Genomic DNA, 16579 nt, shown 5'->3' with positions numbered 1-16579 from the left:
CAATAAACCCGTGGAAATCATGCATGTACCAGGGATGGCGAGGCCAGTGATCTCATTGGGTGGGACAGTCAGTGGGTGGTGGGTAGGATGGAGAAGGGACAAGGCAACTAGCTGTACAAACTTGAGAGTCTTCTAGCCACCTTCTTCTCAATGTCAGGTCTGGGCTGGAGGCAGTGGCCACAGAACATGAACGCTGCTTCCCGCAGTGATGGTTACCACAGCAGCGACGGCATGGGAGGAGACACGGGCTTATGTGGTGTGTGGAGGGCGCACCCCAGCTCCCTCGCCCTGCCCATGCACCTTACCCCTGCCCTCCCTCAGTTCCTGATGGGGTGGTCCAAGTTATCCCCTAAAGTCTTTTTTTTTTTTTATTTTTGAGACAGAGTCTCGCTCTTGTTGCCCAGGCTGGAGTGCAATGGTGTGAATTTGGCTCACTGCAAACTCCGCCTCCCGGGTTCAAGAGATTCTTCTGCCTCAGCCTCCTGAGTAGCTGGGATTAAAGGCGCCTGCCACCATACCTGGCTAATTTTTGTATTTTTAGTAGAGATGGGGTTTTGCCATGTTGGCCATGCTGGTCTCGAACTCCTGACCTCGTGATCTGCCTACCTTGGTCTCCCAAAGTGTTGGGATTACAGGCGTGAGCCATGGCGCCCGGCCTATCCCCTAAAGTCTTGCAGGAACCAGCCTTGCAAGGTCTGACACTCTAAGGTCCTGGTTCCTGCACTCGAGGGTGAGAGCAGCGTCAGGAGACTGGGAAGGGGCTGGACTCTGTGATGTTCTTTCCCAGAGTTCAGCAAGGAGCAATTGCAAGGACTGCAGTCTCAAGGTCAGCCTCGCTTTAGGCAGTGTGACTGTGTGTGGACAGTGGTGTAGTTAAGGGGGCATCTGGGAAAACAGAATTATTTTGAATTACACCATGGGCTCACAAATGGCAGGGAATAGTGAACAGTTCCTCCTTTCCTTCCTTCCTCCCTCCCTCCCTTCCTTCCTTCCTCCCTTGCCTTCTTCCTTCCCTTCCTCCCTCCCTCCCTCCCTCCCTCCCTTCCTTCCTTCTTCCTAACAGGATCTTGCTCTGTCACCCAGGCTGGAGTGCAGTGGCACGTTCTCAGCTCATTGCAACCTCCACCTCTCAAGCTCAACCACCACACCGGGCTAATTTTTGTATTTTTTGTAGAGACGGGGTTTCACCATGTTGCCCAGGCTAGTCTCAAACTCCTGAGCTCAATCAATCACTCCCTCCTTGGCCTCCCAAAGTGCTGGGATTACAAGCATGAGCCACCGCGCTTAGCCCAGGGAATAATTTTCATAAACTCACACTCATTTCTCTATCTGTCAGGTTCCCTCTCGCAAACTTAGTTCCATTTGAAGATAGTTCAATCAGAGAGACCTAATAAAGAGACAGTTTATGGAGTAGTGGGCAGGGGCAAAGGAGGCCACAAGGGGTGGTGAGACCCCCAGGGGCAGTAGGAAGCTGGTACTATCCCTGGCCCTGAAGGATATGAGGAAGAAGTGGTGTTCCTGAAGTCCAGCGTGCACTGGAGGTAGAGGAGGAATCCTCAGTGGGGACTATAGCCATAGAGGACCAGCATCTGCCAGAACTGCCTGCCGTGTGAAGCAGGGAGGAACACCCTGACCCCTCTCTCCACTGGAGGGCACGGGAGCCCAGGTGTTGCAGCTGATCCACCTCCTGGGGCACAGAGTCGGGCAGAGAAGCAGGAGCAGGGGTCTGAAGGTGGAGGGAACAGATAGAGAATAACCAGGACAAGGCCAGGTGCAGTGGCTCACGCCTGTAATCCTAACACGTTGGGAGGCCGAGGCAGGTGGATTGCCTGGGCTCGGGAGTTTGAGACCAGCCTGGGCAACATGGTGAAATCCCATCTCTACTAAAATACAAAATTAGCTGGGCGTGGTGGTGCGCACCTGTAATCCCAGTTACTTGGGAGGCTGAGGCAGGAGAATTGCTTGAACCCGGGAGGTGGAGGTTGCAGTGAACCAAGATTGTGCCACGGCACTCCAGCCTGGGTGACAGAGCAAGACTCCATCTCAGAAAAGAAACAAACTAGCCCGGTGTGGCACTCGCCTGTAGTCCCAGCTACTCAGGAGGCTGAGGCAGGAGAATCACTTAAGCCTGCATTCCAGCCTGGCAGACAAAGCAAGACTCTGTCTCTCGTTTTTTCTGTTTGATAAGTTTGAATTTTTATACATCGAGGTTTCTTAAACTAGAATTTAAGGTATGATCATAAAGTAATGCTACAGTTTTTTCTTAAAGAAGCACACATATGTCCCAATGGCAATTCTGCTTTCAGTGGTCACCTCGGGAAGCTCTACACTTACTTCTGTAAAAAATCTACTGCTGGGCCGGACGCGGTGGCTCATGCCTATAATCCCAGCACTTTGGGAGGTCGAGGTGGGTGGATCACTTGAGGTCAGGAGTTTGAGACCAGCCTGGCCAACATGGCGATACCCCGTCTCTACTAAAAAATATATAAAAATTAGCTGGACGTGGTGGCACATGCCTGTAATTCCAGCTACTCTGGTGGCTGAGGCAGGAGAATCATTTGAACCTGGGAGACAGAGGCTGCAGTGAGCTGAGATCATGCTACTGCAGTCCAGCCTGGGGGACAGAGCGAGACTCGTCTCAAAACAAACAAACAAGCAAAAAAAAAAAAACAAAAAACAAGCCTGGTTAATTAGGTGGGTGGGTTGTTTGGGGTCAAAAGCAAGGCGTGATTATGTGTGTGACTAACTTTCCTGTGTGGTTGGGAAGTTGTCTCAAATGTTTTGAGCAAAGGCTGCACTGTTGAAATATTGCTATGTCTCCAGCACCCCAAAGCAAAAGTGCATCACCCATGAGGACTTTGCATGTTGCTTATATACATGTCCTGCTTCAGAGTGCCACCTTAGCTCTTTGGTATTTTGCATTAGCTGTGACATTAAAAAACATTATGTGGGAGATGCAGCTAATTGTGTACCTGAAATTTCTTTTTTTTTAAAGTGTATTTATTTTGAATGCAAATCTACCGAGAAGTTGCAAGAATAATACAATGAATATTCATATAGCTTTCAGTTGGATTCACCAATTGCTAACATTTACTTTGTTTGCTTTAATCTCTCTCTGTCTCTCTACATATACATATATATATATATGGTTTTTTTGTTTGTTTGTTTGGGACAGAATCTCATTCTGTTGCCCAGGCTGGAGTGAAGTGGCATACTCTTGGCTCACCACAACCTCCACCTCCTGGGCTCAAGCAATTCTCCTGTCTCAGCCTCCCAAGTAGCTGGGATTACAGGTTTGTGCCATCATGCCTGCCTAATTTTTGTATTTTTAGTAGAGACAGGGTTTCACCATGTTAGCCAGGCTGGACTCGAACTCCTGACCTCAGGTAATCCACCTGCCTTGGCCTCCCAAAGTGCTGGGATTACAGGCATGAGCCACCGCACCTGGCTCATATAGGTGTTATCATTACTTTTGCTGAATCATTTGAGAGTAAATTACAGACATCATGATCCTTTACCCATAAATACTTCAGCATGTATGGGCATTCTTTTATATAACTCCAATAGAGGGCGGGCGCAGTGGCTCACGCCTGTAATTCCAGCACTTTGGGAGGCTGAGGCGGGTGGATCTTGAGGTCAGGAAGTTCCAGACCAGCCTGGCCAACATAGTGAAACCCCATCTCTACTAAAAATACAAAAAATTAGCCGGGTGTGGTGGCAGCTACTCAGGAGGCTGAGGCAGGAGAATCTCTTGAACCCGGGGGAGGTGGAGGTTGCAGTGAGCTGAGACTGTGCCATTGCACTCCAGCCTGGGCGACAGAGTGAGACTCCGTCTCAAACAAACAAACAAACAAACAAACAAACAAAACTCCAATACAATAATTAAATTCAGGAAACAAAACATTGACATATTATCTAATATGTAGTATATCTTTAAATTTCACCAGTTGCCCCAGTAACTGTCTTTACAGTAATGTCTTTTTTTGTTTGTTTTGAGTCAGAGTCTTGCTCTGTCTGCCAGGTTGGAGTGTAGTGGTGCGATCTTAGCTCACTGCAACCTCCACCTCCTAGGTTCAGGCGATTCTCCTGTCTTAGCCTCCTGAGTGGCTGGGATTACTAGCGCCCGCCACCACACCTGGCTAATTTTTGTATTTTTTAGTAGAGACGGGGTTTCGCCATGTTGGCCAGGCTGGTCTTGAGCTCCTGGCCTCAAGGGACCTGCCTGCCTCAGCCTCCCAAAGTGCTGGGATTTGCGACCATGCCCGGCGACAATGTCTTTTTTTCCTCTTTGGGGTTCAATTGTTGATGACCTCACATGATGTTTAGTTGTCTTGGTCTCTTTCTTTCTTTCTTTTTTTTTTGAGACGGAGTTTCACTCTTGTCACCCAGGCTGGAGTGCAATGGTGTGATCTCGACTCACTGCAACCTCTGCCTCCCGAGTTCAAGTGATTCTCCTGCCTCAGCCTCCTGAATAGCTGGGATTACAGGCACCTGCCACCACACCCAGCTAATTTTTTGTATTTTTAGTAGAGACAGGGCTGGTCTCGAACTCCTGACCTCAAGTGATCCACCCACCTTGGCCTCCCAAAGTGCTGGAATTACAGGCGTGAGCCACCGTGCCCGGCTGTTTATTTCTTTAATCTGTAATAGTTTCTCAGTTTTTTTTTTGTCATGCATGGCACTGATATTTTTGAAGTGTGTGGGACCAGTTTTCTAGAAATGTCCCTCAATCTGGGTTTGTCTGATGATATTTCCTCATGATTGGGTTCAGGTTATACATTTTGGGGCAGGAATTCCACAGAAGTGATATTGGGTCCTTTTTGGTGCCTCGTGTCAGGAGGCACATGATGGGTATGTTAATTTCAATTCCTTGGTTAAGTAGGAGATTGCTAAGTTTCTCCATTGTAACGTTGCCATGACTCCTCATTGGAATTAACAAGGAAACCCAAGTTTTCAAGATAAAAGTCCAAGTTTGGGCAAGTTTATCTCACAAGCACACTTTAAGGGGTTGGTGGCATGCTTAGCCTTGGCGTGATCTCGGGCTGGGAGTTTTGAAAGTGGAGTTCTGGCTTTGAGCTTTGCAGCACAGAGCAGCTCTCTGTCTTTCCTCACGAGGACAAAGAATTCCATGCATGAATGCCTGCCACGGGCCGGGAATGCCATGTGCTGTTTACCAGCCTCTGAATTGCCCCGTGGCGTCAGGCAGCCGCTGGTGCTTCCTAAGGCTGAAGGCGCCCAGCAGAGGCGCTGCCATGGGCCACAGCAAATGTGTAGGGAACATTCTGCTGAGGAGGGCAGTTTCATTTCCCTTTAAATGCCTCTGTTATTTTCCACCACACGCTTGAGGCTTGGCCCTAATGGAAAAACTTCCCAGTAGTGGGGCCAAGGATGGGAAAGGGTTACGAATGAAAAGGCCTTCTCTTTGGACAGGGCGTTCTAGTCCACAGAGTGCTTTATCTCTTGAGATCTCACACTGCGTTCTCAGCTCCGCCCAGGCAAGCAGGCAGCTCTGGCATTTGCTGACCCTATCTTACAAACCAGAAAGGTGAGGCTCGGAAAAGCGAAGCGATTGGTCTCAACTCATAGAGTTGGGAAGAGGTGACTTGGCCAAAATCGATCCAAGCTTTCTGATTAAAAAAAGAATTTTTTTTTTCTTCCCTGTGATGTCACTGCCGTTTCCCTGAAGAAGCTGGGAATTTCTTTTCTGGGGGAATTTTAGGAAATAGAGGATGCCTCTTGAAATTTGCAGGGACTTGAACTCGGACTTTTTAACATTGTCGAAAGTAGTTATTAAAGTTATTATGGCCCAGCACAATAGCTCACTCCTGTAATCCCAATGCTTTGGGAGGCCGAGGCAGGAGGATCACTTGAGGCCAGGAATTCAAGGCTGCAGTGAGCTGTGATTGTGCCATTGCACTCCAGTCAGAATGACAGAGCGAGACCCAGTCTCAAAAAACAAATTAAAAAACCCCCATTATTATGTGCAAAGCCCCTTTCTTCAATGAGCCTACCATCCAGTAGGGGAATAATAATAATATCAGTTATCAGTTCTGCTATTTCCTAGCTGCGTGACCTTGGGCAAGTTATCAAACCTCATTGTGCCTCAGTTTTTTGTTTTTTGTTTTTTATTTTTTTGAGACGGAGTCTCTGTCGCCCAGTCTGGAGTGCAGTGGTGCCATCTCAGCTTACTGCAACCTCTGCCTCCTGGATTCTCCTGCCTCGGCTTCCTGAGTAGCTGGGACTACAGGCGTGCCCACCACGCCCAGCTAATTTTTGTATTTTTAGTAGAGACGGGGTTTTGCCATGTTGGTCAGGCTGGTCTCAAACTCCTGACCTCAAGTGATCTGCCCGCCTTGGCCTCCCAAAGTGCTGGGATTACAGGTGTGAGCCCGCATCCCCAGCCCTGTTTTTTAAATCTATAAAACAGGGATGATATGGTTCTTCTCTCACAGCTTTGTTGGGAGGATGATTTAAATTAACATAATGTGGTCAGCATATAGTAAATACTGTGTTAGCTATTCTTATATACTCTTAGTTTGTGTGAGGCATTGTGTATGTATTTTACATGCTTTCTCTCTTTTCATTTCCACAACAACCACATGAGGTGGGTATTATTTTTTTCATTTAACAGACAAAGAAACTGAGGCTCAGAGAAGTTAAGCAGGATGTCCAAGGTCACACAGCTAGCAAACAGCAGAGTCAGGATTCACACGGGGGTCTGTGCTGACTGAAAAGCCCATGCTTTTAATAGCATTCTGCTTGCTCTGGTACCAGGAAGACTGTTAATAACAGTGTATAACTATTTCAAGGTTTGGAGAGGAGTGGGGGGAGGGAATTCCAGGCAGAAGGACCGGGGAATAAAAGTGTGGAAGTGGAGATGTGTGCGTGGGAGGTTTAGCAGGGTCAGGCCAGGGAGCAAGAGAAGGGGGACGAACTCAGAATGAAACCTGAAAGCCAGGCAGCTTGGCTGGTTTCAGGTCCAGCCATGAAAGGAAAAAACTGGGACATACACCCATTTGCCCATTTTGGGGAGGAGGGAGTAGGGTTTAGGGTTCAGGCTCAGCCTCCTGGCTGCTGTCAGTCCCTCCCGAGGCTCTCCTGCCCCGGGCCACCCTGGGTCCTTCCTCTCCTGAGTCTTCACTCTTCCACTATAATAATAAACAAGGGAGAAACTATGATCAAATCATCTGAATTGTAACGAGCCCCACCCACTGGTCCCAGACCACCCGGCCCACACAGCCTGGAAGGCCCCCAGCCCTGGCTAAGCCCATGGCGTCCTGCTGCCCTGCAGCTAGGAAAATGCAGGCCAGGCACAACCCTCTGGCCAGCTGGGGCCCTGAGGGGCTGAGCCTCCTGTCTGGGGGGAGAACCTGAAAATGCAAGGGGGCTGCAGGGAGGAATTTTGGGTGGAACAAAGTTGCTCCTGCCCCTGACAGTTTCCCCTGTATCTCCTCACCTGCCGGCCCTGCTTGGCTGCAGGGCGAGGCTGATTTTAGCCCGAAGTGAGAACCTGCCAACAATCTGTGGTGTGAGTAGAAGGATCTCAGTCTTCCTGGCCTCCTGGGTGGGATGCAGCAGCTCCCCCGACCCCACAAACCCCGACACCCTTCCAAGGGGAAGGAACTCGGGCGTCCTCAAGCTCAGACCACTGGCTCTTTTTTTTTTAATATTTATTTATTTACTTATTATTATTTATTTATTTTTAGACAGGGTCTCGCTCTGTTGCCCAGGCTGGAGTGCTGTGGCGTGATCATGGCTCACCACAGCCTGGACATCCTGGGCTCAAGCCATCCTCCCACCTCAGCCTACCGAGTAGCTGGAACTACCGGCGTGCGCCACCATGCCCAGCTTGTTAACCATCCCCCCACCCCCGCCTTTTTTTTTTTTTTTTTTTTTTTGGTAGAGACAGGGGGTCTTGCTATTTTGCCCAGGCTGGGCTCCAGCGATCCTCCTGCCTTGGCCTGCGGAAGTGCCGGGATTACAGACATGAGCCACCGCACCCGGCCCGGACCGCTTGCTCTTCATTCCGGAGATTATGGGGAGCTGGAGAAGAAGAAAGCAAGCAGAAAACTAAGGGGGGAAACGAGAGAAAGAGCCCGGGATGGGCAGAGGCTGACAGTGTGGCCAGGGGTCCTGCTGGGGGCGGGTGGAGAGTAGGGGGAGGTGTGTCGGGGGAGGCAGCAGGGGAGGAGCAAAGCCCTAGGTCGAGGGGGAGGGAAGGGCGGCGGCTTGCAATGAGCGGCAGGGAGCGTTGAAGGGCGTGGAGCGGGAAGGAAAGAAAAAGAGGGAGAGGACTCACAGGGAGAAAGGACAGTGCCAAAGGGTGACTTCGAGGGGACTTTAGCCCCGCTCCCTGTCTCCATAAATCCCTCCTGGCACTCCAAACAAACCTACAATCGAAGTAAAGCAGCGCGCTTTCAATAGCGAGGCAAGGTCCCTTGCTCCAACCAGAAACGGGATGATACCTGGTGAACCCCCATCCAGCAAGCCCGGGGCCCTCAGAATCAAGGGCATGAGACCCTGGTCTCTAGAGAGCATCTGTGGCCACACCCCATTGGCCGAACTGTCAATCGCCAGGCCATATTTGGGCCTCATGACCCGTTGCTAGGCAGATTTTTATCCCCTGGGGTTGCTGTGAGCCATGTGCCCGCAGACTGGGTTGGAGGCGTGGGACACAGAGGGGAGCAAAGACGGGGCGAGCAAGTGGGAAAGAAGACCCTGGGGGGCTGTCGGGAAGCTGCTGAGACCAGGTATACACCTCCCAAGGGGTGGCCACGGGACCTCACCCCTTACCCTAGTGGGTCCCCAATGCCCAAACACTGGCCTTTCATTGCGCGCTTTCCCCTTTATCCAGACTTCCTTCAAATGACAGCTTTGTACCCTGAGAAACTAAGGTCCTGGAGAGTGTCAGCGTCATATATGTTATTGCTTTTGAAACTTTACATTTAAAAAGAGAGCTTTTAGACCCTGAGGGATGGGTCTCTCACGTGGTTATTTCAGGCCCATCAGCAGGCCAGCTTAGGGCATTTTGAAACGGCAGAGCCTTTTAGCCCATCCTCACAAACAGCGTGGTACCGCCTTGCTTTCTCCTCTGGGAGCTCCTGACATCCTCTGGATGCTGGGCTGCAGGGGGCAGGGTAGGGGGTGGGGCAGGGGCGCTTGACCCCTATGTGGAGGAGTTTTGGCCTTAAGGTTCCCCAGCCCCAGCCAGGTGAAAGGGGAGGCTTTTGACAACCTTGGGTCTTTCCAGCCAGTGTTTACCTAGGTGTGTGGTCTCCTCAAGGGCGCGTGGCTGCCAACCACGCCTCTGTCCTCTGTCTTCGGTGGCCAGGCGGTGGGGAGGGCTGGAATGTGAGCAGGCAGGCAAGAATAACGCCAGGGCATTTTCTATTTGTAAGATTGCAAGTTCGGCTCACAACTTGAATTTCAAGTGGGCCCTTCAGCCAGATAGGGAAGTCAGATGAGAGAGTGGAGGCAGCCAGTGCGGATTGTCTAAATTCCTAGAAAAATTCCTAGAAAATAAATTCTAGGAATTTAGCTGCAGGAGGGAGGAGCCCCAGGTGGGATAAGCTCTGGGTAAATTTGCTGGGGGGCCTGGCAGGGATGCTAGGCTTTTTGTCCTTCACGCTATTTAAACATCATGTTTTTCCAAAAATTGCGTGTCTCTTGAATCATATCTAAGACTCTCTTTCTTTCTCTCTCTCTCTTTCTTTCTTTCTTTTTCTTTCTCTCTCTCTCTCTTTCTGTTTTTGAGATAGAGTCTTGTTCTGTTGCCTAGGTTGGAGTGCAGTGGTGTGATCTTGGCTCACTGCAACCTCCACCTCCTGAGTTCAAGCAATTCTCCTGCCTCAACCTCCCTAGTAGCTGGGATTACAGGTGCGCACCACCATGCCTGGCTAATTTTTGTATTTTTAGTAGAGATGGGGTTTCACCATGTTGGCCAGGCTGGTCTGGAACTCCTGACCTCAGGTGATCCACCCGCCTCGGCCTCCCAAAGTGCAGGCATTACAGGCATAAGCCACCACGCCCGGCCTGGAGGCAGGGACTTTAAAAGAAGTTATTTTTTAAACTGAGCTGCTGCCCTCTTATGAAGGAAAACCACTCCCTCTAAGTACTGATTTTGGTGACTGCTCTTAGTTTGAAGTAATTATTGTGTCTAAAAATGGAAAATCACATGTTACTGTTTATCAAAAGGAAATAAACACCTTGGATTAATCGGGTTCTTGCCACTGGATGGTGAGTCCAGACCTTGCCGGCAACCCAGGTAAAAAGGCCACTCTGCATGTTCTGCAAACACTCACTTTTTTTTTCTTTTTCTTTTTTTTTTTTGAGATGGAGTCTTGCTTTGTTGTCCAGGCTGGAGTGCAATGACACGGTCTTGGCTCACTGCAACCTCTGCCTCCTGGGTTCAGGTGATTCTCCTGCCTCAGCCTCTTGAATAGCTGAGATTACAGGCGCCCGCCACCATGCCCGGCTAATTTTTCTTTTAGTAGAGACAGGGTTTCACCATGTTGGCCAGGCTGGTCTCGAACTCCTTACCCAGGATCCCCCCGCCTTGGCCTCCCAAAGTGCTGGGATTACAGGCGTGAGCCACCGTGCCCAGCCCACTTTCGTTGTTTTACAGTTTCCGAAGGGGAAGTGGTCAGATCCTGTGTGTCCGCTGAGGCTTACTTGCCATGCCTGGTTATGTAATCGTGGACAACCTTTGATTGGGCTTTGCTGGTGGCAGAAATAAGGACAGGAAAAAACATGGGAGTCAGGGCGTGTCCCCCACTCACTCTACTCTGACATGGATTGGACTGTTGATTGTTTTGTATTTATGAGCATTTGCTGAACTCTCACGGAATATGGAGAATTAAAAGTTGGACAGAAATGCTTCAGTAAGCCAGCGTGAACTGTACATAGGTTCACACAGGGAAAAAAAGGTCTTGGAGGTGGCTCCGAACACTACATGTCTCAGCCTTTTCATACTCCAGCCAATGCCCAGGGAGCACTTGGTGGTCTCTGCTTTTGACTTAGCTACTGTCAGCCTCTGCAGTCTCAAGCCGGCCTCTGCAGCCACACTCAGCTCTTCCCAGTACTCTTTTAACATACTCTTCTCTTTCCAGCACCTGGCTTTCATGCAGGCTTTTCTTCCTCATCCTTTGGGTTTCAGCTCAGAGGTCATTTCCTCCTGGAAGCCTTCCTGGATACTCCCCATCTTCCCCAGCTATCTCACGCATTCATGTTGCTCTGTACTTTTTTGTTCTTAGCACTATTCATATTAAAATATTAGTGGCCAATGGCTTGTCTGTCTGCCTCTTGCTCCGGACTGTCAGCTCTGTGAGTGAGAAGTAGTATGCTTGTCCATCATTATGTCTCCAGCACACGGCCAGGCACATGGCACGTGGCAGAAACTTGATAAGCCATCTTATCACTAACCGATCACTTCATACACTTCCCCTCAGCGACTGGTGCTCCAATTTTCCTTCTGTCAATTACTGTTTAGTTTCTTGATCTCTCAGGTTTTAGCCTGTACTTAGGGTAAAAACAAACAAAAGTTAAAGAACAAAACAAAATAAACATTCTCTAATAAACGGTTGCTGAAGTTTTGCACTTTGGCTGCTTTCCTTGAGCTGCTGAGTGTGAATTCAGCTAAATTCTGTGCCCTGTTGGCTGGCAAACTTCTCAAATTGACACCATTCCAGCCCCCAGGACTGCCCTGCTGGGGTGGGAAAGGAGGCAGAGGAAAAGCTTGGAGACTCTGAAGTCGAGGACCTGAAGCCCAAGAAAGGTGGGGTGGCAAGAACGGCAAAAAGGGTGTTGCTTGGGGCAGGAAGTTGAGGAAGAGGGAGTGAAGGAGTGCTCGGGTGTGGAAGAGGAGAAGACACCCCAAATCTGCCCAGTTTGGTCCGAAATGGGTGGCTGGCATCTGAAACGTCTCTCACTGCTTAAGTCTAGGAAGTGTGGCTTTTGATTATTCTTTTGTTCTCCTTCCCTTCCTTCCTAGAGAATTTTTTGACCTGGAAAGCCTGGCTGGGATGTGGAGGGTTGTGTTTCCCACCTGCAGCAATGCGGGGCTGGCTTTGTCTTTGCAGCGAACTGCCCCATGCCCCCTGCCTGCCCCACCGCTCTCTTTGAGCCTGACAGACACAGCAACAGTGGCTCCGTGGCCAGCGTCCAGCGCTGCAGAATGAGACAAAGCCCTGTGTATTTGCTGGGCAGCACTTGGCTGTGATATATTGACATGTGAGCGCAGTAGAGTATTTGTGGCATCTGGAGAGCAAAGTGCTCACATCATGCTGGGGTTTGGCAAGTGCATTTATTTCTCTCAGGGTTTGACAAAGTTCTTTTATTTTATTTTTTTGAGATGGAGTTTTGCTTTGTCATCAGGCTGAAGTGCAGTGGCGCGATCTCGGCTCACTGCAACCTCCACCTCCCGGGTTCAAGCAATTCCCCTGCCTCAGCCTCCTGAGTAGCTGGGACTACAAGTATGCACTACCCTGCCTGGCTAATTTTTTGTATTTTAGTAGAGATGGAATTTCATCACGTTGGCCAGGATGGTCTCAATCTCCTGACCTCATGATCCACCCACTTTGGCCTCCCCAAGTGTTGGGATTACAGGCGTGAGCCACCGTGCCTGGCAGGCAAAGTTCTTCTAGAATGTAGAATTTGAGGCATTGAGACTGGAAATCCCTTTGAAAGGCAGGGATAAAATTGTTTTTTTTTTTTGGATGGGGTCTCACTCTGACCCCCAGGCTGGAAAGCAGTGGTGCCATCTGCCACTCCACCTTCTGGGCTCAAGAAATCCTCCCACCTCAACCTCCCAAGTGCCACCACGCCTGACTAATTTGTTTTGTGTTTTTGATTTTTTTTTGTAGAGATGGTGTTTCACTATGTTGCCCAGGCTGGTCTCGAACTCTTGGGTTCAAGCAATTCTCCCATCTCAGCCTCCCAAAGTGTTAGGATTACAGATGTGAGCCACTGTGCCTGGCCAGAATTGTATGTTTTAATGTGATACAGTATGTCTGAGCAATGTCCACATCCAGTTGTCAAGGGGGAAAAAACTTGATAGTGAGCATTCCCAGCTCAACGCTGCCTTGTTCAAAACTCAGCTGACATAGAGGCTTCTGCTGGTTCCCTGTCCACACAGAGTAAGCTCTTCCCAGCCAAAGGGGAGATGAAAGGATTATTTACTATGTAAAGTGGTGAGGCAGAAATCTCCCAGTTTGTTCACTTAGCTCAAAGTGGGAGAAAAAAAATGATGTTGAGGCGGTTCTATAGCTCGATTTCTGGTATGATCAACTGGGAGCAGCAATTTAAAACCCACTTGGATTTTTTAAGTCACTGGGGAGGTTCGGAGCCACATACCACGCCCTGTGTGTCATCATCGGGCTCTCTGAGGGACAGCACGTAGGTTTGGGAGGAACAGGTTCAAACCTGACTCTGATCGTTAACGAAGGTAGTGTTCTGTAGCACACATGACTCTCTGGGCCAATCAGATTACCCCAGCCTTCTAGCACCTGTGTGAACTGACATAGCTGGGAAGCTGGCTAGGCTGGGCTCAGGTGGGGCAGCCAGGTACCTTTATAGTATGATTTGAAGGCCTCAGGTGAGGCTGCCCTAGCCTGAAATATCTCCCCTACTGGCTTGTCAAGGATGTCTGAATTTCGCTACTATTGAGTCATTCCTTTGCGTTTACTACGGTCCTCGTTTTGTGAGTGCAGATTGATCTGGAATACAGGATCCTTAACCTTCCCATCTTAATTGCGTGGATACAACTAGACTATGTTTAATCTCTTGGGTAAGCCACAAACTAAGTTCCACTTTTTCATGCCAGGCCTGTCTTGAGGCATTTCACCTGCCCTCTTCTCTATTCTGTTCAGCTTAGACAAGAAGCAAGCTGGAGCCAGGTAGTCTGGTGTGGGGGACAGAGGAGCAGAGGACTGGAAAGTGAGGGCACCCAGGAGCAGCAGGCTCTCCTTCCTGGCTTCTGGCTTTCCAGCACAGAAAAGCTTGGCTGAGCCTTGGTCTGGTGTCAGATGACGCCTGAAGGGAGATGTGATCTCCCCATTTTGGCCCAGATGGAGCACAGTTAGCTCTTACATGGACTTCCTTCCACTTACTCACTTTCCCTTTACCAGCTATCCTCTGTCCTCCTACTGCTGCACTCTCAGCCATCATCATTCTACGTGGCCTCATGCCAGAAGGGAAGTCTCATTGGCATCCCAGAGGAGCCAGGAGCTCCTAAGCCCCACCAGCACTCGGCCACACCCCTTTCCCCTTTGTGGCTTGGTTCACAGTCTCCAGGAGATGGAGGAGTGGCTAGGAGCTGCGCAGCTGCCGACAGCTCAACTTGTGCGGCTGGTTTTTTGTTTTTTTGAGATGGAGTCTTGCTCTGTTGCCCAGGCTGGAGTGCTGTGGTGCGATCTTGGCTCACTACAACCTCCGCCTCCCGGGTTCAAGCGATTCTCTTGCCTCAGTCTCCCGAATAGCTGAGATTACAGGCACACGATACCATGCCCAGTTAATTTTTTTGTATTTTTAGTAGAGACTGGGTTTCGCCATGTTGGTCAGGCTGGTCTCGAACTCCCGACCTCAGGTGATCCACCCGCCTCGGCCTCCCAAAGTGCTGGGATTACAGGCATAAGCCACTGCGCCTGGCAGGTTTGAACAGATACAGAGGATGTTTAGTGAGAGGCCAGTCGGATGCTATGGGTCTGCACTAAAGCCTTAAACCCTTTCTATCTTTTCCTCTTTCCCAGGCCTAGAAGACATGGTCAGAGTTCATCTACGTCATGCCCCTGCCTCCGGGCATATTTTATCTCCCCATGCCCATGCCTGTCTTCCAGAGACCACTCCCACCAAAGGAAGTGGGAGAAGCGAGGCGGAAGAGAGGCCATAAAGTCCGCTGGAATATAGGCTCCATGAAGGCAGGGATTTTTAATATATCCCCAGAGTCTAGAACAGTGCCTGGCCCACAGTAGATGCTCAATAAATATTTGTTGAATAATGAACCTCCCCTTGTTGAAGTAATCACAGCTGGTAAAGTACTTTCAATCCTAATGAATATTCTGTTGGACAGGTGGAAATTTTTAGAGCCAACATTTCCAAAGATCTATTTATTTTGTTTTTTGTTTTTATTTTATTTTTTTTAGAGAAGGGCCTTGCTCTGTCACTCAGGCTGGAGTGCACTGGCATGATCACAGCTCACTGCAACCTTGAACTCCTGGACTCAAGAGATCCTCCCACCTCAGCTTTCTGAGTAGCTCTTACTAAAGGCACAGCTTCCATGCCCAGCTAATAAAAAAAAATTTCTTTTTTTTTTTTTTTTAGAGTGAGTCTGGGTTCACTATGTTGCTCACGTGCTGCTCTCAAACTTCTGGCCTCAAGCGATCCTCCCACCTTGGCCTTCTAAAGCACTGGGATTATAGGCATGAGCCACTATGTCTGGCCCCAAAGATTCAATTTTTAATTACACCATATAGTGTAATTATAATTACACTATATAGTGTAATTATAATTACATTTAGTGTAATCTTAGTATGCCATTCATTTTGTAAAAAATTAAAACAATACAAGAGAAATTCCCCTTGTTCCAAACACACTTGCGTGCTCCTTCTTAGTGATAACCATTAGCTTCATCTTGGCATGTGCCCTGTAGACTTTGCTCAATGCATTTGGACAAGTCTGTATGTTAACATAGAAGCCTAGAGTTTTGTGGGTTAGCAACGACACAACAACCACAACAACAAAACCCATAAAACCATAAATAAGATTGGACTGTGCTGTTTTGCAGTTTCCTTTTTCCCCTCTTAACGTTTTGGAGATGTTCCATGTAGGTGAAAACAGACCTACCTCGTTCTTTTCATTGTGAAATATTGTGCAGCATAGATATATTGCATATTTGACAATTCCTCTATTGATGGACTTTTAAGTCATTTCCAGTGTTTACTTTTTTTTTTTTTGAGATGAAGTCTCCCCTCTGTCACCCAGGCTGGAGTGCAGTGGCTCAGTCTCGGCTCACTGCAACCTCTGCTTCCCAGGTTCAAGCGATTCTCCTGCCTCAGCCTCCTGAGTAGCTGGGATTACAGGGGCGTGCCACCACGCCTGGCAAAATTGTTTTGTATTTTTACTAGAGATGGAGTTTCGTCATTTTGGCCCAGCTGGTCTTGAACTCCTCACCTCAGGTTATCTGCCTGCCTCAGCCTCCCGAAGTGCTGGGATTACAGGTGTGAACCACCGCGCCTGGCCTATTACCAGTTTCTATGATCTTGTTAGAATAAAAATTTCAGCTCTCTCTTGGACAGGAAATTGTGAGTGATTCACACTAGTAACATAATCAGATATGTCGTAATGATGCTATTTAATGCTATGTCTTCTGTTACTTAGTAACTGTTTTACATAAAGGGCGTAATCATGTCTCCACCTTTTTTGATAGGAATGGTTGTGTATCACTTTTCTCCACCCATTTCACCATGACTTTTAGATATGAAATGGGAGAGTCTGGGGCCTTGGAGGGCCTCAGGGGAGTGACCTCCCCCTTCCCTTCCTTATCCTCTGTTTTCTTGAGTGGCTTCAAGGAGTTGTTTGGTGCCAT

The 16579-nt window shown here is 49.0% G+C and overlaps 1 protein-coding gene across 1 annotated transcript in view, besides 2 other annotated features; it reads left to right on the top strand.

The window, feature by feature from the left end:
* Positions 1–16579, top strand: part of AHNAK (AHNAK nucleoprotein) — a 113263-nt gene that overhangs the window by 32895 nt on the left and 63789 nt on the right. The gene's annotated exons all lie outside the window — the stretch shown is intronic.
* Positions 5061–5355: a silencer, noted in NCBI's record as "tiled region #266; K562 Repressive non-DNase unmatched - State 5:Enh". NCBI's record gives its function as "represses a minimal TATA promoter and a strong SV40 promoter by Sharpr-MPRA in K562 cells {active_cell/tissue: K562}" and the evidence as "EXISTENCE:reporter gene assay evidence [ECO:0000049][PMID:27701403]".
* Positions 7502–8249: an enhancer, noted in NCBI's record as "H3K4me1 hESC enhancer chr11:62273135-62273882 (GRCh37/hg19 assembly coordinates)". NCBI's record gives its function as "activates a minimal SCP1, AML or CMV promoter by ChIP-STARR-seq in naive H9 embryonic stem cells {active_cell/tissue: H9 hESC(naive)}" and the evidence as "EXISTENCE:reporter gene assay evidence [ECO:0000049][PMID:30033119]".

This window comes from Homo sapiens, chromosome 11 (genome assembly GCF_000001405.40).
Source record: "Homo sapiens chromosome 11, GRCh38.p14 Primary Assembly".
NCBI classification, from domain to species: Eukaryota; Metazoa; Chordata; class Mammalia; order Primates; family Hominidae; genus Homo; species Homo sapiens.
Note: the sequence above shows the minus strand (reverse complement) of the source record. Positions and strands in the feature narration are given on the sequence as shown.